Source organism: Homo sapiens, chromosome 12 (assembly GCF_000001405.40).
Source record: "Homo sapiens chromosome 12, GRCh38.p14 Primary Assembly".
Lineage (NCBI taxonomy): Eukaryota > Metazoa > Chordata > Mammalia > Primates > Hominidae > Homo > Homo sapiens.
Genome location: NC_000012.12, coordinates 125,317,432 through 125,335,896, shown reverse-complemented (window position 1 = coordinate 125,335,896; position 18,465 = coordinate 125,317,432). Strand labels below are relative to the sequence as shown.

The following is an 18,465-nucleotide window of genomic DNA, read 5'->3' as shown; positions in this document are numbered from 1 at the left end:
TCCTTCCTCAGCCTCCCAAGTAGCTGGGATTACAGGCATCTGCCACCACACCTGGCTAATGTTTGTATTTTTAGTAGAGACAGGGTTTTGCCATGTTAGCCAGGCTGGTCCTGAACTCCTGATCTCAAGTGATCCTCTCACCTCAGCTGCCCAAAGTGCTGGGATTACAGGCATGAGCCACCATGCCTGGCCAAAAATAAATTTTAAAGTAATTTTTTAAGATGCATTTTCCCCCATCACCCTGCTCTGTCTTCTACAAAGCTGACTTTATTCTCCATGTCACGGTGAGATCAGCATTTTCAAGTTTCACATTCTCCTTCTAAAATCCAATGAGAACTAGTGGAAGTCTATTTGTCAAAATTACAGGAGAAACCCTCAGTGCATCTCACTGTCTATGATAGGGCATTTGCCCATCCCTGAACAAATCACTGTGGCCAGGGGGATGCCTGTTCTTATTGGCTCAGCCAGGGTCATGTGCCCCTCCCCAGGAGCCTGGAGGTAGAATCAGCTTTAGCTGGAATAGGAGAGGTGGGGGTGGTTCCCCAAAGAATCATCATGGGGTCATTTCAACAAAAAGAACAAGGGAATTCTAGGTAGGAAACAACAAAAAATCTCTATTTTTCAAATAAAACAATTTACACCAAGTCAGTACTGATTTCTTCCTGCCAGCACTACTCTCAATACTGTAGGTGTTGAAAAAGAAAAGTCAGGACCATGCCTGGGGTCAGAAACCAGACATTTGAGCAATTACCCTGCAGAAACGTGTTACCTTTGCAATTTGACATACTGTGTTCAAAACACAAGTTGAAGATTCTGAACCCAGGGCCTAAAATAAACCAACATTCGCTGAACGGCTAATCTGTTTACTCAAGCATCCCAAGTCTTCAGAAGTGATCTCAGCGGGCAGGGACAAAACAGAAGTAGACTGAGGGCCGGCTTTATGTCACGCAAACTGTGCATTCCAGGGCCGCACGCTCAGAAGGAACTGTGCTCTGCTTAACGCTATGCTGCCATGCTCTTCACCTCTGAAATTCTTAAGAGTTGTGTCTTTGAACTTTTGCTTTGTAAGTGAAGTCTAATGAGACGGTCGTGCATGGCACAGAAGCAGAGGAGAAGTGTGCAATATGCTTGTCTGCTGTTTGCTCCTTGCTGCACTATTTGCATATAGCATTCACAGTGCCCCATAAGCATCATGGTCCCAGTGAATCCATTGTGCATGGAGCTCAGCAAGACTCAAAGCGAGTATAGGTAAGCGTGCTGCATCCATGACAACTAAACAGGGGCACTGACAGCTCCGAGGAACCAGGCTGCCCATTCAAACCAGAACTTGCTTCAAAGGCAGAAAAAAGGCAAAGACATTCTACAAAACACAACAAACCAAGGAACCCTGTCAGGTCCTTTATTACTCCTGTTACTTCCTGTATTCCTTCCAGCCACTTAACCGCTGAAAAGGAAGGCACAGAAGGAACAGCGAAGATCAGAAAACCCCTAGCTCCTCTCCCCTTCCTCGCCCACCAGGAGGCGAAGGGAGAGGTCTGGTAGAAGGAGTATCAAGAGGTGAGATGAGAAAGTGCTGAGGTAGTTCTGGGCAGCGTTTCCACTGTCCTGGTAGCAATGATATACCCATGCTTGCACGAGCTATGAAATATGGATTGAGTAACGGACGATTCTGCATATGTGTTAATTGCTCTTATATTTGCATTTAAAACTGATATCACATAATAAAAAGATAAATGGTAAAATTCATACTAATGATTTAAGATTTTAATTTTTCTTTTTCAGAATGGCCTTAAATAGCAAGTAAAAACACCATGAGAAGTTGAAAGAGGGGCCCCAGAAGGAAGGAAAAGGGCTTTATATTTTCATACTTTTCATGGCATTTTTTCCCTGATTTTGGAAGAAGGGGCTGAATTTTCATTTTTCCCTGAGCACTGCAAATTATGTAGCCAGCCCTGAGGACATGTGAGTTAACCCAGCAGAAATATAACCATGCCACAATCCCCAACTTTCTCCCAACACTTAGGCCAGAGGTTAAAAAAGCAGGCTCCAGGGACAGTATCTGGGTCACAGACATATTTTTATTTTACCTACTCAGTGATTTTCTAAAAATTGAATTAATCACACAAAAATCCAGATTTCTGGCTTTTCTTTAAAGATACAATAAGCTTTGACTAGGCTGTGCATGCATTCTTACCCAGCAGTAATCAGCTAGATCAGCAGGGTCACTGCTGCTCTCTTTAGCTAGCACCTGCATCCTAAAGCTCACCACAGTCCCCACCATTCCCTGTCGCCCCATTCCAGCTCTCACACTCACATATATCCCCTGCCTGCCCTCCAGTCCACTTTCTAAAAATGAGCCCAACACTGAGGAGGGCAGAGTTGGGAGAGGGAGACAGAATTGCAGGTTGAAACAGCTTCAGACTTAGACATTTATTCTTCATGAATGTAATTAATTCTATTTGCCGTATGTAGTGGGTTGAGTAATGTCCCCCCAAAAAGATATTTCCAGGTTCTAACCCATGGTTACCTGTAAATGTCACCTTACTTGGAAATAGAGCCTTTGCCAATGCAATTAAGTTAAGGTTTTCAAGATGAGCTCATTGGATGACATAAGTCCAATGACACCCACCCTAAAACCAATGACAGACGTCCTTATAAGAGAAAGGACAGGGAGACTTGAGACACACAAAGACATAGGAGAAGGCCACATGAAGACGGGAAGAGTTGGGGGGATGTGTCTACAAGCCAAGGAACGCCAAAGATCACTGGCAACACCAAAAGCTGGAAAACCGGCCTGGGACAGCGCCTCCCGCAGTCTTCAGAGGAAACAACAGGGCAACACCTTGATTTCGCCTCCAGAATGTGTGAGAAATCAGTGTCTGTTGTTTTAAGCCACCGAGTTAGTGGTAACTTATTACAACACCCACAGGAAACTAACGCACATTATAAAAAACAAAACATCATTCATCCTGGCTAGTCTGGGCAATCCGAAATCGCTCAGAGAATATCTTTTGTTCTCTTTCTTGTTTTTGGTTTTTTGTTTTTTAAGGCAGTTCATTATTTTCCAACACACAAAGTAACTAAAGAAAGGAAAAACTAATATTGTCCAGTCTTAGTGGCTGTTGCAAAGAGAAGCCACTTTAGTGAATCTGTAAGACGAGTTTTTAGCGTGTTTAAACAGCATGACCTCAGACGCCTTCAACATCCCTTTTACAATCCTGTTGAATCTCCAAGTGCTTGGAAACCCCTTTTCACCTACCAAAGCACTCTACTGTCTTAAAAAAAAAAAAAAAAAAAAAAAAAAAAAAAAAAAGCCAACTCTCTGAATTAATTTCTCAGATGACATAAGGGTCCCCGTGACGCAGAAAGTGCAGAGCTATGAAGAAATGCAGTGGGTGGAGGGCACAGCCTGCTTCTGGGGAGCTGCGCTTAATTGAGAGAAGATGACAGAAGTCTGTGGGAAAAAAAAATTGATGAAGAATAAAAGAAAGTAAAATATGTATTGTTCACTTGCCTGCTACAAGAGTTGCCAGATCTCAGAGGAAGAAGAGATGAATAATTGGCTGGCAGTTATCACAAGCTTATCAGTAGCATCCAATACATAAAATAATAATAATAATAGTCATTGCTAGGAATTTGTCAGATATCTACTGAGTACCAGTCACTGTTCTAACTACATTAACATGTATAAACATACTAAGTAACATGTTCTGATACATGGATTAACAAGTTTTAAATGTATTAACATGTATTAGCTCTTTAGACATTTATTCTTTACACAATCCTATGAGCTAGAGTATTATTTTCATATGGTATATTAATACTATTATATAATTATTACCTAAATAAATTTGGGCAGGGCTCAGTGGCTCACGTCTGTAATCCCAGCACTTTGGGATGGCTTGAGGTCAGGAGTTAAAGAGAAGCCTGGGCAACAAGTGAGACCTCAGCTCTACAAAAAAAATGTAAATAAAAAATAACCAGGCAAGACAGCAAGTGTCTGTAGTCCCAGCTACTTGGGAGGCTAAGGTGGGAGGATCGTTAGAGCCCGGGAGGTCAAGGCTGCAGTGAGCTGAGATTACACCACTACACTCCAGCCTGGGCGACAGAGCAACACCGCATCTCCAAATGTATCAAATAAATAACTTGTAATAATATAGCCATTTTATAGATTCAAAAACGAAGGCACAGAGAGGTCAAAAAACTTGCCTAAGGTCACACAGCCAGTAAGGGGTGCAGCCAAGAGTGGGCCCCAGAGTGTGGGCTTAACCCCTGCTCTGCCGGGTCCTGGCATCTGTACAGCTCCTGCTCCTCTTCCTCAGCTTGGGGAAGAGACTCAGCTTCTTCCTGGTGAGCCACATGTGAGCTGGTTCCAGATTTCACCCGGAGTAAAGGGCTCATGTGCTGCTTTTAACCATAGCGCGACCTCGAAACCCGTGGACTAAAAGCCACGGAGAACTCGGGAAAGAAACAGCACCTCCCCTTCACACAGACCCCAGGGCTTCGCCGTGGACCCCACCCTGGGTAAAAACCCTTAACAGCAGCCTTGGGAATCTTGGTGCGGAGGAAAAATACAAAGCCTCAGTCCCCTTTTCCTGGAATGCAATTCAGAGCTTGTCCTGTGTCGCTCAGAGTCAGCGGAGGACGAAGCGGACTCCTGGGGCAGCAACGCGGAGGAGGGGACCGACCCGGGAGCCCGGACTGAGCCCACCCGGACCAGGCCCTCCCCGGCGCTGTCCCCGCCCCGCTCCCAGTCCGGCTCCCTCCTCCGCAGACCCCGGGCCTCGCGGGCAACACCGCCACCCAGTGGCCGCCGCCGCCAGCGCTGCACGAGGAGCCGGTGGTGCATCCCTCCCCTCTTCCAGAGACGAAACCCCGATTTGGGCGGTTTAGGGCAATCTGGGGACTTTCACCAAGGCCCACTGCTGCTTTCCAACAGAAACCCCTTAAACACCTCCTGCCTCAGCCTCCTGAGTAGCTAGGAACACAGGATGTGCTAATTTTTATTTTTATTTTTTGTGGAGATGAGGTCCCACTGTGTTGCCCAGGCTGGTCCCAAACTCCTGGCCTCAGGCAGTCCTTCCACCTCTGCCTCCCCAAGTGCAGCTTGGTTAGGCAAAGTGTTGGAATTGCAGGCATGAGCCACTGTGCCCAGCCAAGAAATTTTAATTTGCCTGTGAATTTTTTTTCAAAGCAATACACTAGGTAGAAACATTTGCACATTTTAAAGCTTTTGATACATATTGCTGTTTTACAGAAAGGCCTCTGCCCTCTTGGCAGCATTGGATATACTTTTTAAAAAATCTTTGCCATTTCACAGTAAAAAATGATAGTTTATAGATTAAAAAATTTAAATTTGACAATTAGTGATTAAGTTTTTTAAATGTTTACTGGCCATTTTTTTTCTTTCTTTGTAAATTTCTTGTTGTCATTTGTCTATTGTTTCCATAGGAAGTACTTAACTTTTTTCTTGAGCAATAGAAGTTTTTATGCATGAAAAATGTCAACCATAACTATAGATAAATAAAATCATCTTCATGGCTGCAAAAAAAAAAAAAAAAAAGAAACCCCTTAAACAAAGCACGACTACTCTATGGGACCAGATTCTTTGTTTGCAAGTCACACAAACCCAAACCAGGATAGGCTTAGGGGAGAAAGGGAGTCACTGTCCCCAAACCATCAGCCTGGACAGAGGAGACCACAAGTGGCAGCCAGCACCCCGTGGGTTCTCTGTGCTCCGGAAGAATATGAAATTCTATTTGGAAGCGGGGACGCACCCACACCACACGCATCCCGTGACCCAGAGCAACACCTGGGTTTTCCATCAGTCCAGCGTGACACAGATCGTCGGACCACAGCGTCGGCCACGGAACAATGGCCACAGGCTGCCAGCAGGGCTACTGCATTGAAACCCTCTCTCCCCTTCCCTTTGTCCACTTCCGTCACCCTGAGAAATCACAAAGTGGAGAACTGATTTTTGCCTGTATCTGTCGCATTCCTTCCAGTGAAGATCGGGTAGTTTTATGAAAGGGCTTTTTCTTCCCTTTGTGTTCAGGGGTATTCACTCCATGGGGAAAATCTCTCTAGTCCCTGGCCTGAAAGCTGTTCCTGTTGTTTCCTTTCATTGGCCACCTGAGTGTCAAGGGGCCGGGGCTGGGGGAACACTTTAAAAGGCCAGTCTCAAGAGAGATGAATACAGCCTGTGTCAGTGACAATGAGTGGTTTGGGGACAAAGCCACGACAGCTCTGAGACATCCGTTAGGGAATCGTCCCAGGAAAGTAACCAACCCATTGTCCCATCTCGTTCCAGCCAAAAGCCACTCAGACCTTATCATCCTCCTCAAGTCAGTGCCTCATAGGACCCCAGACCCAAGGGTGGAGGGAGCTTGGGTTCTAGAGAAGGAGGCTTGGGCTAGAAAGTCAGCCTGCCTCTTGCCTGGCTGGGCTGCCTGGTGAGTGACTCAGCCCTACTTAGCAAGACAAGAATACCATCTGCCTCCTGGGGTTCTGTCACATTCAATGGGATGGATCAGGCACACTCATTTGTCTAAGTCAGCTTGGCCAGCTGTAACAAATCCATCATAGGCTGGGAGGCTTCAACAACAGATATTCATTTCTCACAGGTCTAGAGGCTGGAAGACCAAGATCAAGGCGCCAGCAGATTTGATGTCTGGTGCATGCCTTCTTCCTTATGGACATGCATTCTTGCCATATCCTCGCATGAGGGAGGAAGCGCTGGTACTTCTTTCTCTACTTATAAAAGCACTCATGAGGGCCCCACCCTCGCAACCTCACCTAAATCTAATTACCCCTCGAGGGCTCCACCTCCTGATACCATCACATTGGAGATTAGGGCTTCAGCAAATACATTTGGGGGTGGGGGAGAATGCGAACATTCAGTCCATAACAGGGTTCATTCAGTATCCATTAAGAGCCAGTCCTGTGCCCGGCACTGAAGTTGCAGGGAGGATAGAGCAAAGCAGCCCTGTCCTCACAGAGTTTAGTCTAGTTTGGAGCTGAAGAATGAACAAGCCATTCCAGTAAAGAAAAGCGAGAGTCATGAGGGCACATGTACCGAGGAGAGGCCCCAGTGCGGTCTTGAGGGAGCCAGAGAAAACAGGACCTGTAGTTCATTGAATGGTGCCCCCAAAACACATCCACCTGGAACCTTACTTGGAAATAGGGTCTTTGATGATGTAAGCAGGTCATATTGGACAAAGGCAGACTTTAAATCCAATGACTGGTGACCTTAGAAGCAGAAGAGAGAACAGAGACAGGGAAGGTCATGTGAAAATGAAGTGAGAGACTGGAGTGATGGGGCCACAAGCCAAGGAATGCCTGGAGCCACCAGAAGCTGAAGAGGCAGGAAGGATCCTCCCTCCCCTAGAGCCTTCAGAGCAAGTGTGGCTCTGCCAACACCTTGATTTTGGACATCTGCCCTTCAAAAGAGAATAAACGTATGATGGATGCCCCAGGAGACTAACACAGTAGCCGAAGGACACGTGGAATAGCCAGGTCCCATTTGGGGAAGAAGGCTCCCAGCAGAGGAAACAGCATGGGCAGAACACAGAACCCTGCTGCAGCTGCAAGGGTGTGGTGGCTGGGCAGGAGTGAGGGCACCGTGCTGGGCTGGAAAGGGAGGAAAGGGCACATCCTTCAGGGCTGGCGGAGGCCACTGCATTGTGTTTGGACTTTATCCCAGGGTAATGGGAAGCCACCTGAGTGACTGAGGTCCCAGGTTCATGGCACCACTTGATATAACACGGTTAAGACATCACTCTGCTATTACGGAGAATGGACTAAAAGCAGGAAAGGCCAAGACAGGGAAATGAATGCGATGGCCCAGCCCCAAGGGCAGGGTGACTTTGTTTTACAAACGGGCCAAAGACGGTCCTTGTAGACTGGCCCCAGGTTTACTTCTTCAGAGTTGGCTAGGGCCATCCATTCTCCAAGACCCCCGGTGCCAAAATCAAAATTTTACACAACCCATTGTTTTAAATGTAGCCCAAAGAAGCAGACTCTTAGCTATGTAGAGCCCGCCTGCTTTATATATCCTGAGAAACTGCACCCAGCATCTGCCAGCCACAGATTTTTTTTTTAAAACCTTGGACTATAGAAGACCCCAGGCAGCTGCTGTCCCTTGGAGCCCCCTGGCCCAGAGGCACCCAATGGTCCTGCTGTGTGACCTGGACACTTAAGCCCCCTCTCTAGCTCTCCTTTTCCCCAGGAGTTCCTTCTTCCTTCCTGGTTGGCTGGTGGCCCAGGTGATGGCCACAGTCTCTGGAAGGTCTCCTGCTATGGGAGACGTCCCCCGCATGCAACCTGTCAACATACTGCCCAAGTAAAAAAGCTCACTCTTCCTGATCAGGCCTGAAATCCTCAAACTCACCGCAGCCTCTACTGCAGAAAGGGCCACCAGGATGGAGAGGAAATGAAGAGATTCTGGTAGGACTTGGACATCAATTAGCTATGATGGGAGGGGAGAGGGTGCTGAGAGAGGGAAGAAAAGACAAAGAGGCATTTTGAGCTTAGTCTTGGGCACAAGGGTGGACCCGTCACTGGGACAAGGGAGGTGGGTATTTGGGAGAAGGTGCTGAGCTCTGCTTGGGACGTATTTAGTTTTTGATATTTGTGGGCCCCCATGTAGAAATGAGTTAGATGCTGATGCTGGAGCTCAGGAGAGACCTGTGAGCTAGAAGGAGATTTGGGTGTCAGCAGAAGAGAGGTGGTGACAGAAGCCATTGGGAAAAGTGGCCCAAAGAGAAACATGCAGAGTGGGAAAAAGAGGAGGGAAAGAGAGCCTTGGTGGAGAGAGGCTTTGGTGGAGAGAGGTTTTGGTGGAAAGGTCTAGCAGGGGGCAAGCCTGCAGAGAAGGCTCAGGGGGCATCCAGGGAGAGAGAGAGAAGGGAAAGCAGGTGCCTGTGTTGTTAGAGAAGGCAGGGAGACCCTGTGCCTCTGAGCTGCAAAAAAGCCAAGCCTGGAGAAGTGGCCCCTGCATGTGGCAATAGCTTTGGCAGCCTCGGTGGACAGTTTCAATAGTAACAAGGTGGCAAGAAGCACAATGAGTGAGCAGGACAAGAGGAAGGGGTGCACGGAGAACAGGCAACTCTTTCAAGAAGTTTGCTGCAAAGGGAGAATCTGAATAGGACATAGGAAAACCTCCCCTTGGGTCTGGTCCCATCCCTGTCCTGGTTGCACCAGGCCATTCCCTTCCTTCCGACCTCCCCCGGTGCAGACAGCAGTGGTGTCCATTCTGGATGCTGCACCAAACATTTCCCGTAGAGTCTGGAGCTGAGGCGAGGGCACCAAATCTTCAGCTTTATTCAACACCCCCCAGTTCCTAATTCCCACCTCCCCCCATCAAACAGCATTAAGCCGATGTTTACTATACAGGTTGCCAGGACAACGGAATGTCAGAGCTCATGTGCTCCATTTTGAGCTCATATTGTCTTCATTGGAAACAGGTCAACAAGGAGGGCAAGTGACTTTTTCAACCAAGTCTGGAATACTGACGGGGCTTGTCCAGCCTGAGACCAGTCACTTCGGAACAGAGTAATTCTCCTCCCCAAAAGCAATCAATAGATCACACAATGACTCTTCTGAAGCTCAAAGGCACGGGGACAGGACAAGTGCTGAGCTCCTCAGAGTTCTTTTCTTATTAGGCATTTGTTGGTCGCCTCTCCAGTGTCTACAGTCTTCTCTCCCTTTGTGGAGAACCTTGATTTGGTCATAACTGGGCATGTGACCTAGTGCCGGCCATTAAGGGAGAGAGAGAGACTCTGGGTTTGTGCAGAGGCTCCCTGGGGTGTCCCCCTCTCCCTGTGAACAGCGTGGTAGGAGGCTGGAGGCCCAAAACCCCCAAATGTCACTGCACTACATGGGGAGCTCAGAGCTGCAGGGCCCTGGAGTGGGGTCAACACCATGAAAAGCAAACCAGGAAGTCAAAGAAACTCGGTCCTCACACAGTCCAAGCTCTTGGGTCAAGCTACTACATCTGATATGATTGTATAGCCACAGCTCATTCCATGAGACACAAGAGAGAATCCACAGCATCCCATGTGATCCTATGACCTGCAGAGAAAGAAGAACTCTCACTAGAAGCTAGTAAGCCAGAGAGCTCCACCTGAAAAGTTGGAAACAACAACAACGACAACAAAACAAAGTTCTTAGAAACAGACACACACACACACACACACACACACACACACACACACACACACACACACAGGGTGGGAGGCAGGGAAAGAATGCAAGAGGTGAACACCTTCTTAACATAAAAATGAGCCAACTTCAGATCAGAAAAATGGAGGCCCCATGTTTCCAGAGTTCTCCGCAAAAATGTCAAATCTCTGATCAATAACTTTCAAATGCCACAATCCGTGCGTTCAAATAATTCTTTGAAGGCTTAGTAAATAAATATATTGACAAACAGATTAATTGCTAATCACTTCTCCGATATTGTCATTACTTCCAAACAGTTAGATCCAAAACAAGGCAGCTTGCACCAGAAAGCCTTCCCATTTCCCCTGGGCGCTGCTTTGAAGGTCCTCCGCTCCTGCCTGGTTTGAGGCTGCTGCTCCCATGGCCATGCATTCTAGGGGCATCAAACGCTCCTGTTTTGATGAGAATTCAAAAGGTTTCCTGTCAGCTGGGATGCTGTGCTTTTTTCTGGGTTTTGTGTGTTTGCGTCTTTACCTTACCCATATGTTCTGGGCCTGTGAAAAATGTAAGCAACTGGCAGATGTGTCCTGAGAAATCGCTGGCATGACTTATTCAATTTGCAAAAATTGTAAACACAATGGAACTGGTGCCTCAGGCTACATCTACCCCTTGTTATCAGCTATCTCAGTGGAAACAATGCCAGAAGAGCTCTCTGTTTTGCGTTGCAGGCAGGTAACCACTGTCTACACCAAGGGGCCCAGAGCAGGAACTGGCCCAAAGGAGTTTTGTTTGAGCCCCGTTGAAGTTGGACTGTTTTCCCCCAAAATAAGAGATTGCCACGTCCACAGCTCACCTTTCAAGCTGATAAGATCCAAAGACCAGACTTTTGGAGTCTAGCTAAGATAGCTAAGGGAACACGATCTCAGTTGTCACTCTAGGGCAGTGGTCCCCAACCTTTTTGGCACCAGAGACCAGTTTCATGAAAGGCAAGTTTTCCATGGATGGTGGAGGGCAGGGATGGTTTCAGGATGAAACTGTTTCACGTCATAAGGGGAACGCAACCTAGGTCCCTCGCATGCACAGTTCACAATAGGGTTTGGGCTCCTATGAGGCTCTAATGCTGCCGCTGATCCGACAGGAGGCAGAGCTCAGGCAGTAATGCTCGCTAGCCTGCTGCTGTGTGGTCCGGTTCCTAACAGGCCACAGACCAGTACCAGTCCGTGGCCTAGGGGTTGGGGAACCCTGCTCTAGGGAGTAAAATTGATAATTTGGCAAAATCTATCCAAAATTAGTCTGCACATACCTTTTGATTAATTCTTCTTCTCAGAACTTATCCTATGAATCTACCTGCACACGCGTGACGTGACACACCTGCAAGGTTCTTCGTGGAGGCAGTAATTCTACTTGCACCTTTCTGGTGCAGACCACCTTGTTTTGGATCTAACTCTTTGGAAGTAATGACAACATTGGAGAAGTGATTAGCAATTAATCTGTTTGTCAATATATTTATTTACTAGACCTTCAAAGAATTATTATTCAAACGCACGGATTGTGGCATTTGAAAGTTATTGAACAGAGATTTGACATTTTGCAGAGAATTCTGCAAACATGAGGCCTCCATTTTTCTGATCTGAAGTTGGGTCATTTTTATGTTAAGAAGGTGTTCACCTCTTGCATTCTTTCCCTGCCCCCGTTGTGTGTGTGTATGTGTGTGTTTCTAAGGAAATTTCACGGTTGGGGGGTTTGTTTCCAACTTTTTGGTCGGAGCTCTCTGGCTTATTGGCTTCTTTCTATAATGCTCACATGATTTTTCTGGGTGCCAGGCCCTGTGGATGCCTTTATATACACGAGCTCCTTTCGTCCTTATAACTCTATGAGGTAGGTAGGCACTACCATTTTCTTCATTAAGAAACAAGGAGCCCAGTACGGTGGCTCACGCCTGTAATCCTAGCACTTTGGAAGGCCAAGGCAGGCGGACCACCTGAGGTCAGGAGTTGGAGACCAGCCTGACCAACGTGGCAAAACCCTGTCTCTACTGAAAATACAGAAATTAGCCAGGCATCATGGTGTGCACCTGTAATCCCAGCTACTCAGGAGGCTGAGGCAGGAGAATCGCTTGAACCCCAGAGGCAGAGGTTGCAGTGAGCTGAGATTGTGCCACTGCACTCCAGCCTTGGGTGACCAAGAGAGACCCTGTCTCAAAAAACAAACAAACAAACAAACAAAGAAGCTGAGAGGCAGAAAGAGGGTAGAGAATTTGGCCAGTCTTTGTTTTTTGTTTGTTTTTGTTTTTGTTTTTTGAGGCAGAGTCTCGCTTTGTTGCCCAGGTTGGAGGGCAATGATGCAATCTCAGTTCAGTGTAACCTCCGCCTCCCGGGTTCAAGCAATTCTTCTGCCTCAGCCTCCCAAATAGCTGAGACTGCAGGCGCCTGCCACCACGCCCGGCTAATATTTGTATTTTCAGTAGAGACAGGGTTTCACCATTTTGGCCAGGCTGGTCTCGAACTCCTGAACTCAGGTGATTTGCCCGCCTTGGCCTCCCAAAGTGCTGGGATTACAGGTGTGAAGCAGTGCACACTGGCCAGTCATTTTCGTAGTGGCAAAAGACTAGAACCAAGCCAGTGTCCATCAATCAAGGAGTGACAACATAAGCTATAGGCCAGGCACACGATGGAATGTGGAAGGACAGTGCTTGAAAAATTGCAGCTCTTTATGTCAGAGAAGGTTCTCCAGACAAATTGTGTGTTAAGTGGAAAAAAACAAGGTACCGAACAGTACTCATGGTTTGCTACTGTCTATGAAGGCAAAGCAAACTATACATAGGGAAACATATACAGCATATATATATATATGCATAGAAAAGTACATTTCTATGATTTTCTATGCATGAAATATCTCTGAACACATTGGGGGGAAATGCTAATCATGTTGACTGCCTGTGCAAAAGAAAACTGGATTGCTGAGGGGTAAGATGGAATTTTTTTAATTATAATCACTTTTATACTTTTTGAAATTTGAACCATATGAATGTATTATGTCTTTGAATATTTTAACAGTTTTGTTCAGGTATACTTGGCATCCAATAAAACGTACCCAATTAAAGTGTATGGTTTGATGAGTTTAGCTACAAAGTTGTGCAACCATTGCCACAATTTAGTTTTAGAATACTTCCTACACCCCAAAAGCTCCCTGTGTTCACTGACAGGTAATCCCTCTTCCCACTCACAGCTCTGGCAACTATTAATCCGCATTTGTCTCTGCAGGCTTGAATGTTCTAGATATTCACATACATGTGTAGACATATGTATTAGTCTATTCTCATGCTACTAATAAAGACATATCTGAGACTGGGTAATTAATAAAGAAAAAGAGGTTTAATGGACTCACAGTTCCACATGGCTGGGGAGGCCTCACAATCATGGCGGAAGGTGAAGGAGGAACAAAGGCACATCTTACATGGCGGCAGGCAAGAGAGTGTGTGCAGGGGAACTGCCCTTTATAAAACCATCAGATCTTGTGAGATTTATTCACTGTCACGAGAACAGCACAGGAAAAACCCAGCCCCATGATTCAATTACCTCTCACCGGGTCCCTCCCACGACACGTGGGGATTATGAGAGCTATAATTCAAGATGAGATTTGGGTGGGGACACAGACAAACCATATCAACACACAGTATGAAGACCTTTGTGCCCGACTTCTTTTATTTCGCATAATAATTAAGTCACCCATGTTATTATATTTATCAGTAGGTTGTGCCTTTTTATTCCATTGTATGGGTGTCCTAAAGGGTGTTCATGCATTCACTAGTTGATGGACATTTAGGTTGTTTCCAGTTTGGGGCAATGACGAATAAACATTTATAAACAGGTCTTTTTTTTTTTAAAGTAGATATCTAGCAGTGGAATTGCTGGGTCATATGGTGGTGTATCTTAACTTTTAAGCAAACTGATGAACCAGGTGAGCTTGGTGGCTCACACCTGTAATCCCAACACTTTGAGAGGCCAAGGTGGGTGGATCACCTGAGGTCAGGAGTTTCAGACTAGCCTGACCAGCATAGTGAAACACTGGCTCTACTAAAAACACAAAAAATTAGCCGGGCATGGTGGTGCACACTGGAATCCCAGCTACTTGGGAGGCTGAGGCAGAGGAATCGCTTGAACCTGGGAGGTGGAAGTTGCAGTGAGCCGAGATTGCTCCACTGAACTCCAGCCTGAGCAACAGGAACAAAACTCCGTAAAGAAAAAAAAAAAAAAAAAGAATCATTTTCAAAAGTGACTACACCATTTTACATTCCCATCAGCACATAGAGGATTACAGTTTCTCCACATCCTTGCAAAAACTTGATATCGCCAGGTTTTTTATTTTAGTCATTCCATTGGTTGTGCAGTGGTATCTCATTATGGTATTAATTTGACTTTTCCTAATGACTAACAATGTTGGGGATATTTTCTGTCTTCAAAACACAAAATGTAAAAGTTTGACTCAGTAAACAAATCGAAATTGAGAGATGTCACATAACAGTTAGGACCTCCGGTTTCTCTCCCCCAAAGTCAGAAAAATCTACCACTTCTTTGGTCTACATTGCATGTATCCAGATCCAGCACCTCTTTTCCAGAACTCTCAGTTCCTAATTTCTCTGATTTAGACAGGCAAGACCAATGCATACGCTGAATCTCAGTAGCACCTTCAGCGGAGCCTGGGGCAGGATCTTTGAATCCACACACCAGTGGTTCCAAGTCAAAGACAAGAGCCTTCCTCTTAAGTGGAACAAATAAAGTTATAAATGAGCTCAGGTGAGGTTCTACCACCCAATGAGTCTGCTGAAAATTTACCAAAAACATTGTGGTTCTCAGAGGTTTGGGAATCTGGAATTGCAAATAGAGAGATAATGGGTGCATAACATCTGCTCCTTCTGGAAGATGTGTTGCTTTCCATATTCCCCACAGTCCCAATGTCTAAGACCAGCCTGACCCCAGTGCATTTTCCCTTGTCCCTATGGTGCGTGGTGTTTCAGGAGCAGACTCATGATTCATTTAAATGCATTTGTTTCCATTTAAGTCGGCCAAAGACTGAGGTCGACTCAGCTTCCCCCTTGTGGAGCCGTTCCTGTACTTAAACACAGGAATGGAAACAGGCCTGAGTTCTTCATAGAGCAAACAAACCTGTCCCTTCTCCTAGCCAAGCTCACCCCAGCAATGCCACCAGGAACCCCTAATGTCCTCTCCAGCGCAACAGGCCGGTTCCACACGCTAATAAAAGCTGACTGTTTCAAAGCCTGTTGGCAAATCTTATTAAAGTAATCCCCCTCCCTGAACCCAGATTATTACAGCCACCGTTATGGTAGAATAAAAATTAATTTTCTCAGCTATAATAAGAGCGATAAGAATGAATCACTTGGGACCAAATAAAGATTACAATTAGCTCCAACAGAATAAGACTAAATTTAACGTAGGCCAGCAATTTATTTGCTCCTATTTTCTCTCTGGTGCCTGCATGAATGAGGCTGCTGGATCAGACCTCCTCCCCAGCTGGGCCATTGTTGATACAGTTACATGAGGGGCTCCAGCAGGACGGTGAGGCTCCAAGCCAGCCCCCAAAAGGCCAAAGCTCAGTGCAGGACCCAGAGACATCACAGGAGAGTCCAGGCAAGGGAGGCCAGTCCTTGTAGAAAAGGTGAATTGTGCTGCCCTAGACCGGTGGCTCCCTTTTTTTTTTTTAGGCAGGGTCTTGCTCTATTGCCCAGGCCGGCGTGCAATGGCACAATCAGGGCTCACTGCAGCCCTCAACCTCCCAGGTGCAAGCAATCCTCCCACCTCAGCCTCCCAAGTGGCTGGAACTATGGGCACAAACCATCACACCTGGCTAATTTTGTTTACTTTTTATAGAGACAGGGTCTCACTATATTGCCCAGGCTGATCTTGAACTCCTGGGCTCAACTGATCCTCCCACCTCAGCCTCCCACAGGGCTGGGATTACAGGTGTGAGCCACTACACCTGGCCAGTGGCTCCCTTCTGATCACTGGACCTATGTGATAATTGAACCCTTCAGTATCCATCCCCCTCCTGGTAACTGCACCCCAGTTTTGAGTCAACAAGAAGGAAGGAAGCCCAGCGCAGCCCTGAGGGGAACCAGAGAGTCAGTGCCCATCTCAGCAGGATAGGGAGGGTAGTCTGAGGTCACCATCAGCTGTGGATGTGTGATGGATCAGAGTTAGTCTGCAGCCACATGAAGGGCAGCAGGGTGTGTGGCCACAGCAGAAGAGAGGCTTCCAGTCAGTGTGGCTCAAAACCAACCAGTCCTCCTGGGGCTTGAACACAAGGCGGCAGCCTCGTTAATGTGGAGGCGTTGGGACCCATACTGGAAAGCCAAGTTCTCGTTACTTCTCCCCTCTTCCTCTGCCTGTCCCTCTCACTGTGTGGATGGAATGACTGTTCACTATCATCATCAACAGCATCTACTGTGTGTTGTGCATAGTACACTGCCACCGGCTCTGAGCTAAACACGCTACACGTGCCACCATCTCTGCAAATCCTCCCACCAGCCCCGGGAGCTGTAGTCATGGGGACTAAATTCTTCCCATTTTACAATTGAGGAAACTGACATTCAGAGAGGACACAACTCTTATCCAAGGTTCACCAGGACAAAACCAGGACCTGAGCCACCTCTACCTGATGCTCTTACCACTGGGCCACCTGCCCTGAAACCCAGGATTATATCATGGCCTCTGGGGACAACCGGGGGACCCCAGTGGGTCAATACCAGCAAGAGAGGCCAAGGACATCCAGTCCAGCAACTTCCAGACTAATTTTTTCCTTAGCTATACAAACTGTTATTCAAACAACATATTTTTAATTGATTATGTAATATTTTTACAAGAGGATTTTTATAATACAGTGAACATACCTGGACCAACCATCCAAGTTAAGAAACAGGTCACTGCACATGGAATCAACCCAAATGCCCATCAATGGTAGACTGGATAAAGAAAATGTGGTACATACACACCATGGAATATTATGCAGCCATTAAAAGGAATGAAATGTCCTTTGCAGGGATATGGATGGAGCTGGAAGCCATTGTCCTCAGCAAACTAACACAGGAACAGAAAACCAAACACTTCATGTTCTCACTTATAAGTGGGAGCTGAATGGTGAGAACACATGGACATGGTGGGTCAGGGACAACACACACTGGGGCCTGTCAGGGTGGGGGTGGGAAGGGAGAGCATCGGGAAAAATAGCTAATGCATTCTGGGCTTAATACCTAGGTGATGGGCTGACAGATGCAGCAAACCACCATCGCACACATTTACCTACGTAACAAATCTGCACACCCTGCACATGTACCCCAGAACTAAAAATAAAAGTTGAAGAAAAATAAATTCATTAAAAGCTCTGTTTGAAAAAAAAAAAAGAAAGAAAGAAACAGGTCACTGCAAACACAGGTGAAGTCCTCCGTGGTCCCTCCCCAACCACAGTTCCCTCCTGACCCCAGAGGTAACCCCTTTCCTCAACTTGGGGTTCACCATGTTGTGAGTTTTTTTTACTTTTATTGTAGTATATAGTGCCTACATATGGTAAGATATGTTGTATCATTTCTAGATTTTATATAAATAGCATTGTACTCTATGATTCTACAACTTGCATTTTCCACCCAACATTATGTCTACGAAAATTACATTTATTGACATACATCGCCGTAACCCACTCACTTTGCTACTATTTGGTATCCCATTGTATGGAAATACCATATGGATCCATTCTCCTGCTGGAAGTTTAGGTTGGTTCCAAGCTTCTGTGATTACATACAATGTTTTAAGAAACAATTCTCACACACGTCTTCGTGTTTATATTTGCATTTCCACTTACCTAGGAGTGGAGTTTCTGAGTTGTTTAAGGGGAAAAAACACCCTTACAGAGAAAGATGATGAAGAGAACCACTGAGAGCTCCCCAGATGAAGCAAGGAGGGCAGGTCTGGGGCCCCTCAAAGTCACACTGGCCACCCCTTCTGGCAGCCCCAGAATGTGAAGGCTCCAGGTGAAAGCCCAGCCCTGGAGGTCACCTGCCCAAGGTCAACAGGCGGGAGACTCCACTAAGCTGATGACGGAGGAGGATAGAGATGATGAGGGGATATGACCCCATGGTGGGAAGGCAGCACTATCCTTTGATGATGTCCCCTTCACTCAAGCCAGGACCCCTCGCCAAAACCAAAGCCCAAAGTCCTGCCCCCAGCCCAGGAAAAGGCAAGGACAAAAGACTGAAGGGGAGCACCCCCACTTCCCAGTTCTGCCCGTCGGGTG

At 46.5% G+C, this 18,465-nt stretch overlaps 1 protein-coding gene across 9 annotated transcripts in view, besides 3 other annotated features; it reads right to left on the bottom strand.

Annotated features, from left to right (window-relative positions):
* The window catches only part of TMEM132B (transmembrane protein 132B), a 475,992-nt gene that overhangs the window by 326,481 nt on the left and 131,046 nt on the right, over positions 1 to 18,465 (bottom strand). Inside the window, exons 1-2 of one of the 9 annotated variants that reach the window (XM_017018767.2) lie at positions 9,222 to 9,320; positions 8,390 to 8,490 (exon numbers count right to left, since the gene is read on the bottom strand). The exons of 6 other annotated variants lie outside the window; for them this stretch is intronic. Coding sequence is in view for 1 of the 3 variants with exons in the window: in NM_052907.3 (NP_443139.2) it covers positions 9,222 to 9,273 (52 nt within the window). In the remaining 2 variants the exon portion in view is untranslated. Of the gene's footprint in view, positions 1 to 8,389; positions 9,321 to 18,465 lie in introns of those variants that run through there. 2 more of the 9 variants (XM_047428242.1, NM_052907.3) reach the window with 2 other exon arrangements.
* Positions 4,733 to 4,792: a silencer, noted in NCBI's record as "silent region_5083". NCBI's record gives its function as "represses an Ori minimal core promoter by ATAC-STARR-seq in GM12878 lymphoblastoid cells {active_cell/tissue: GM12878}" and the evidence as "EXISTENCE:reporter gene assay evidence [ECO:0000049][PMID:35858748]".
* Positions 5,323 to 6,048: an enhancer, noted in NCBI's record as "H3K27ac-H3K4me1 hESC enhancer chr12:125814395-125815120 (GRCh37/hg19 assembly coordinates)". NCBI's record gives its function as "activates a minimal SCP1, AML or CMV promoter by ChIP-STARR-seq in naive H9 embryonic stem cells {active_cell/tissue: H9 hESC(naive)}" and the evidence as "EXISTENCE:reporter gene assay evidence [ECO:0000049][PMID:30033119]".
* Positions 6,049 to 6,775: an enhancer, noted in NCBI's record as "OCT4-NANOG-H3K27ac-H3K4me1 hESC enhancer chr12:125813668-125814394 (GRCh37/hg19 assembly coordinates)". NCBI's record gives its function as "activates a minimal SCP1, AML or CMV promoter by ChIP-STARR-seq in primed H9 embryonic stem cells {active_cell/tissue: H9 hESC(primed)}" and the evidence as "EXISTENCE:reporter gene assay evidence [ECO:0000049][PMID:30033119]".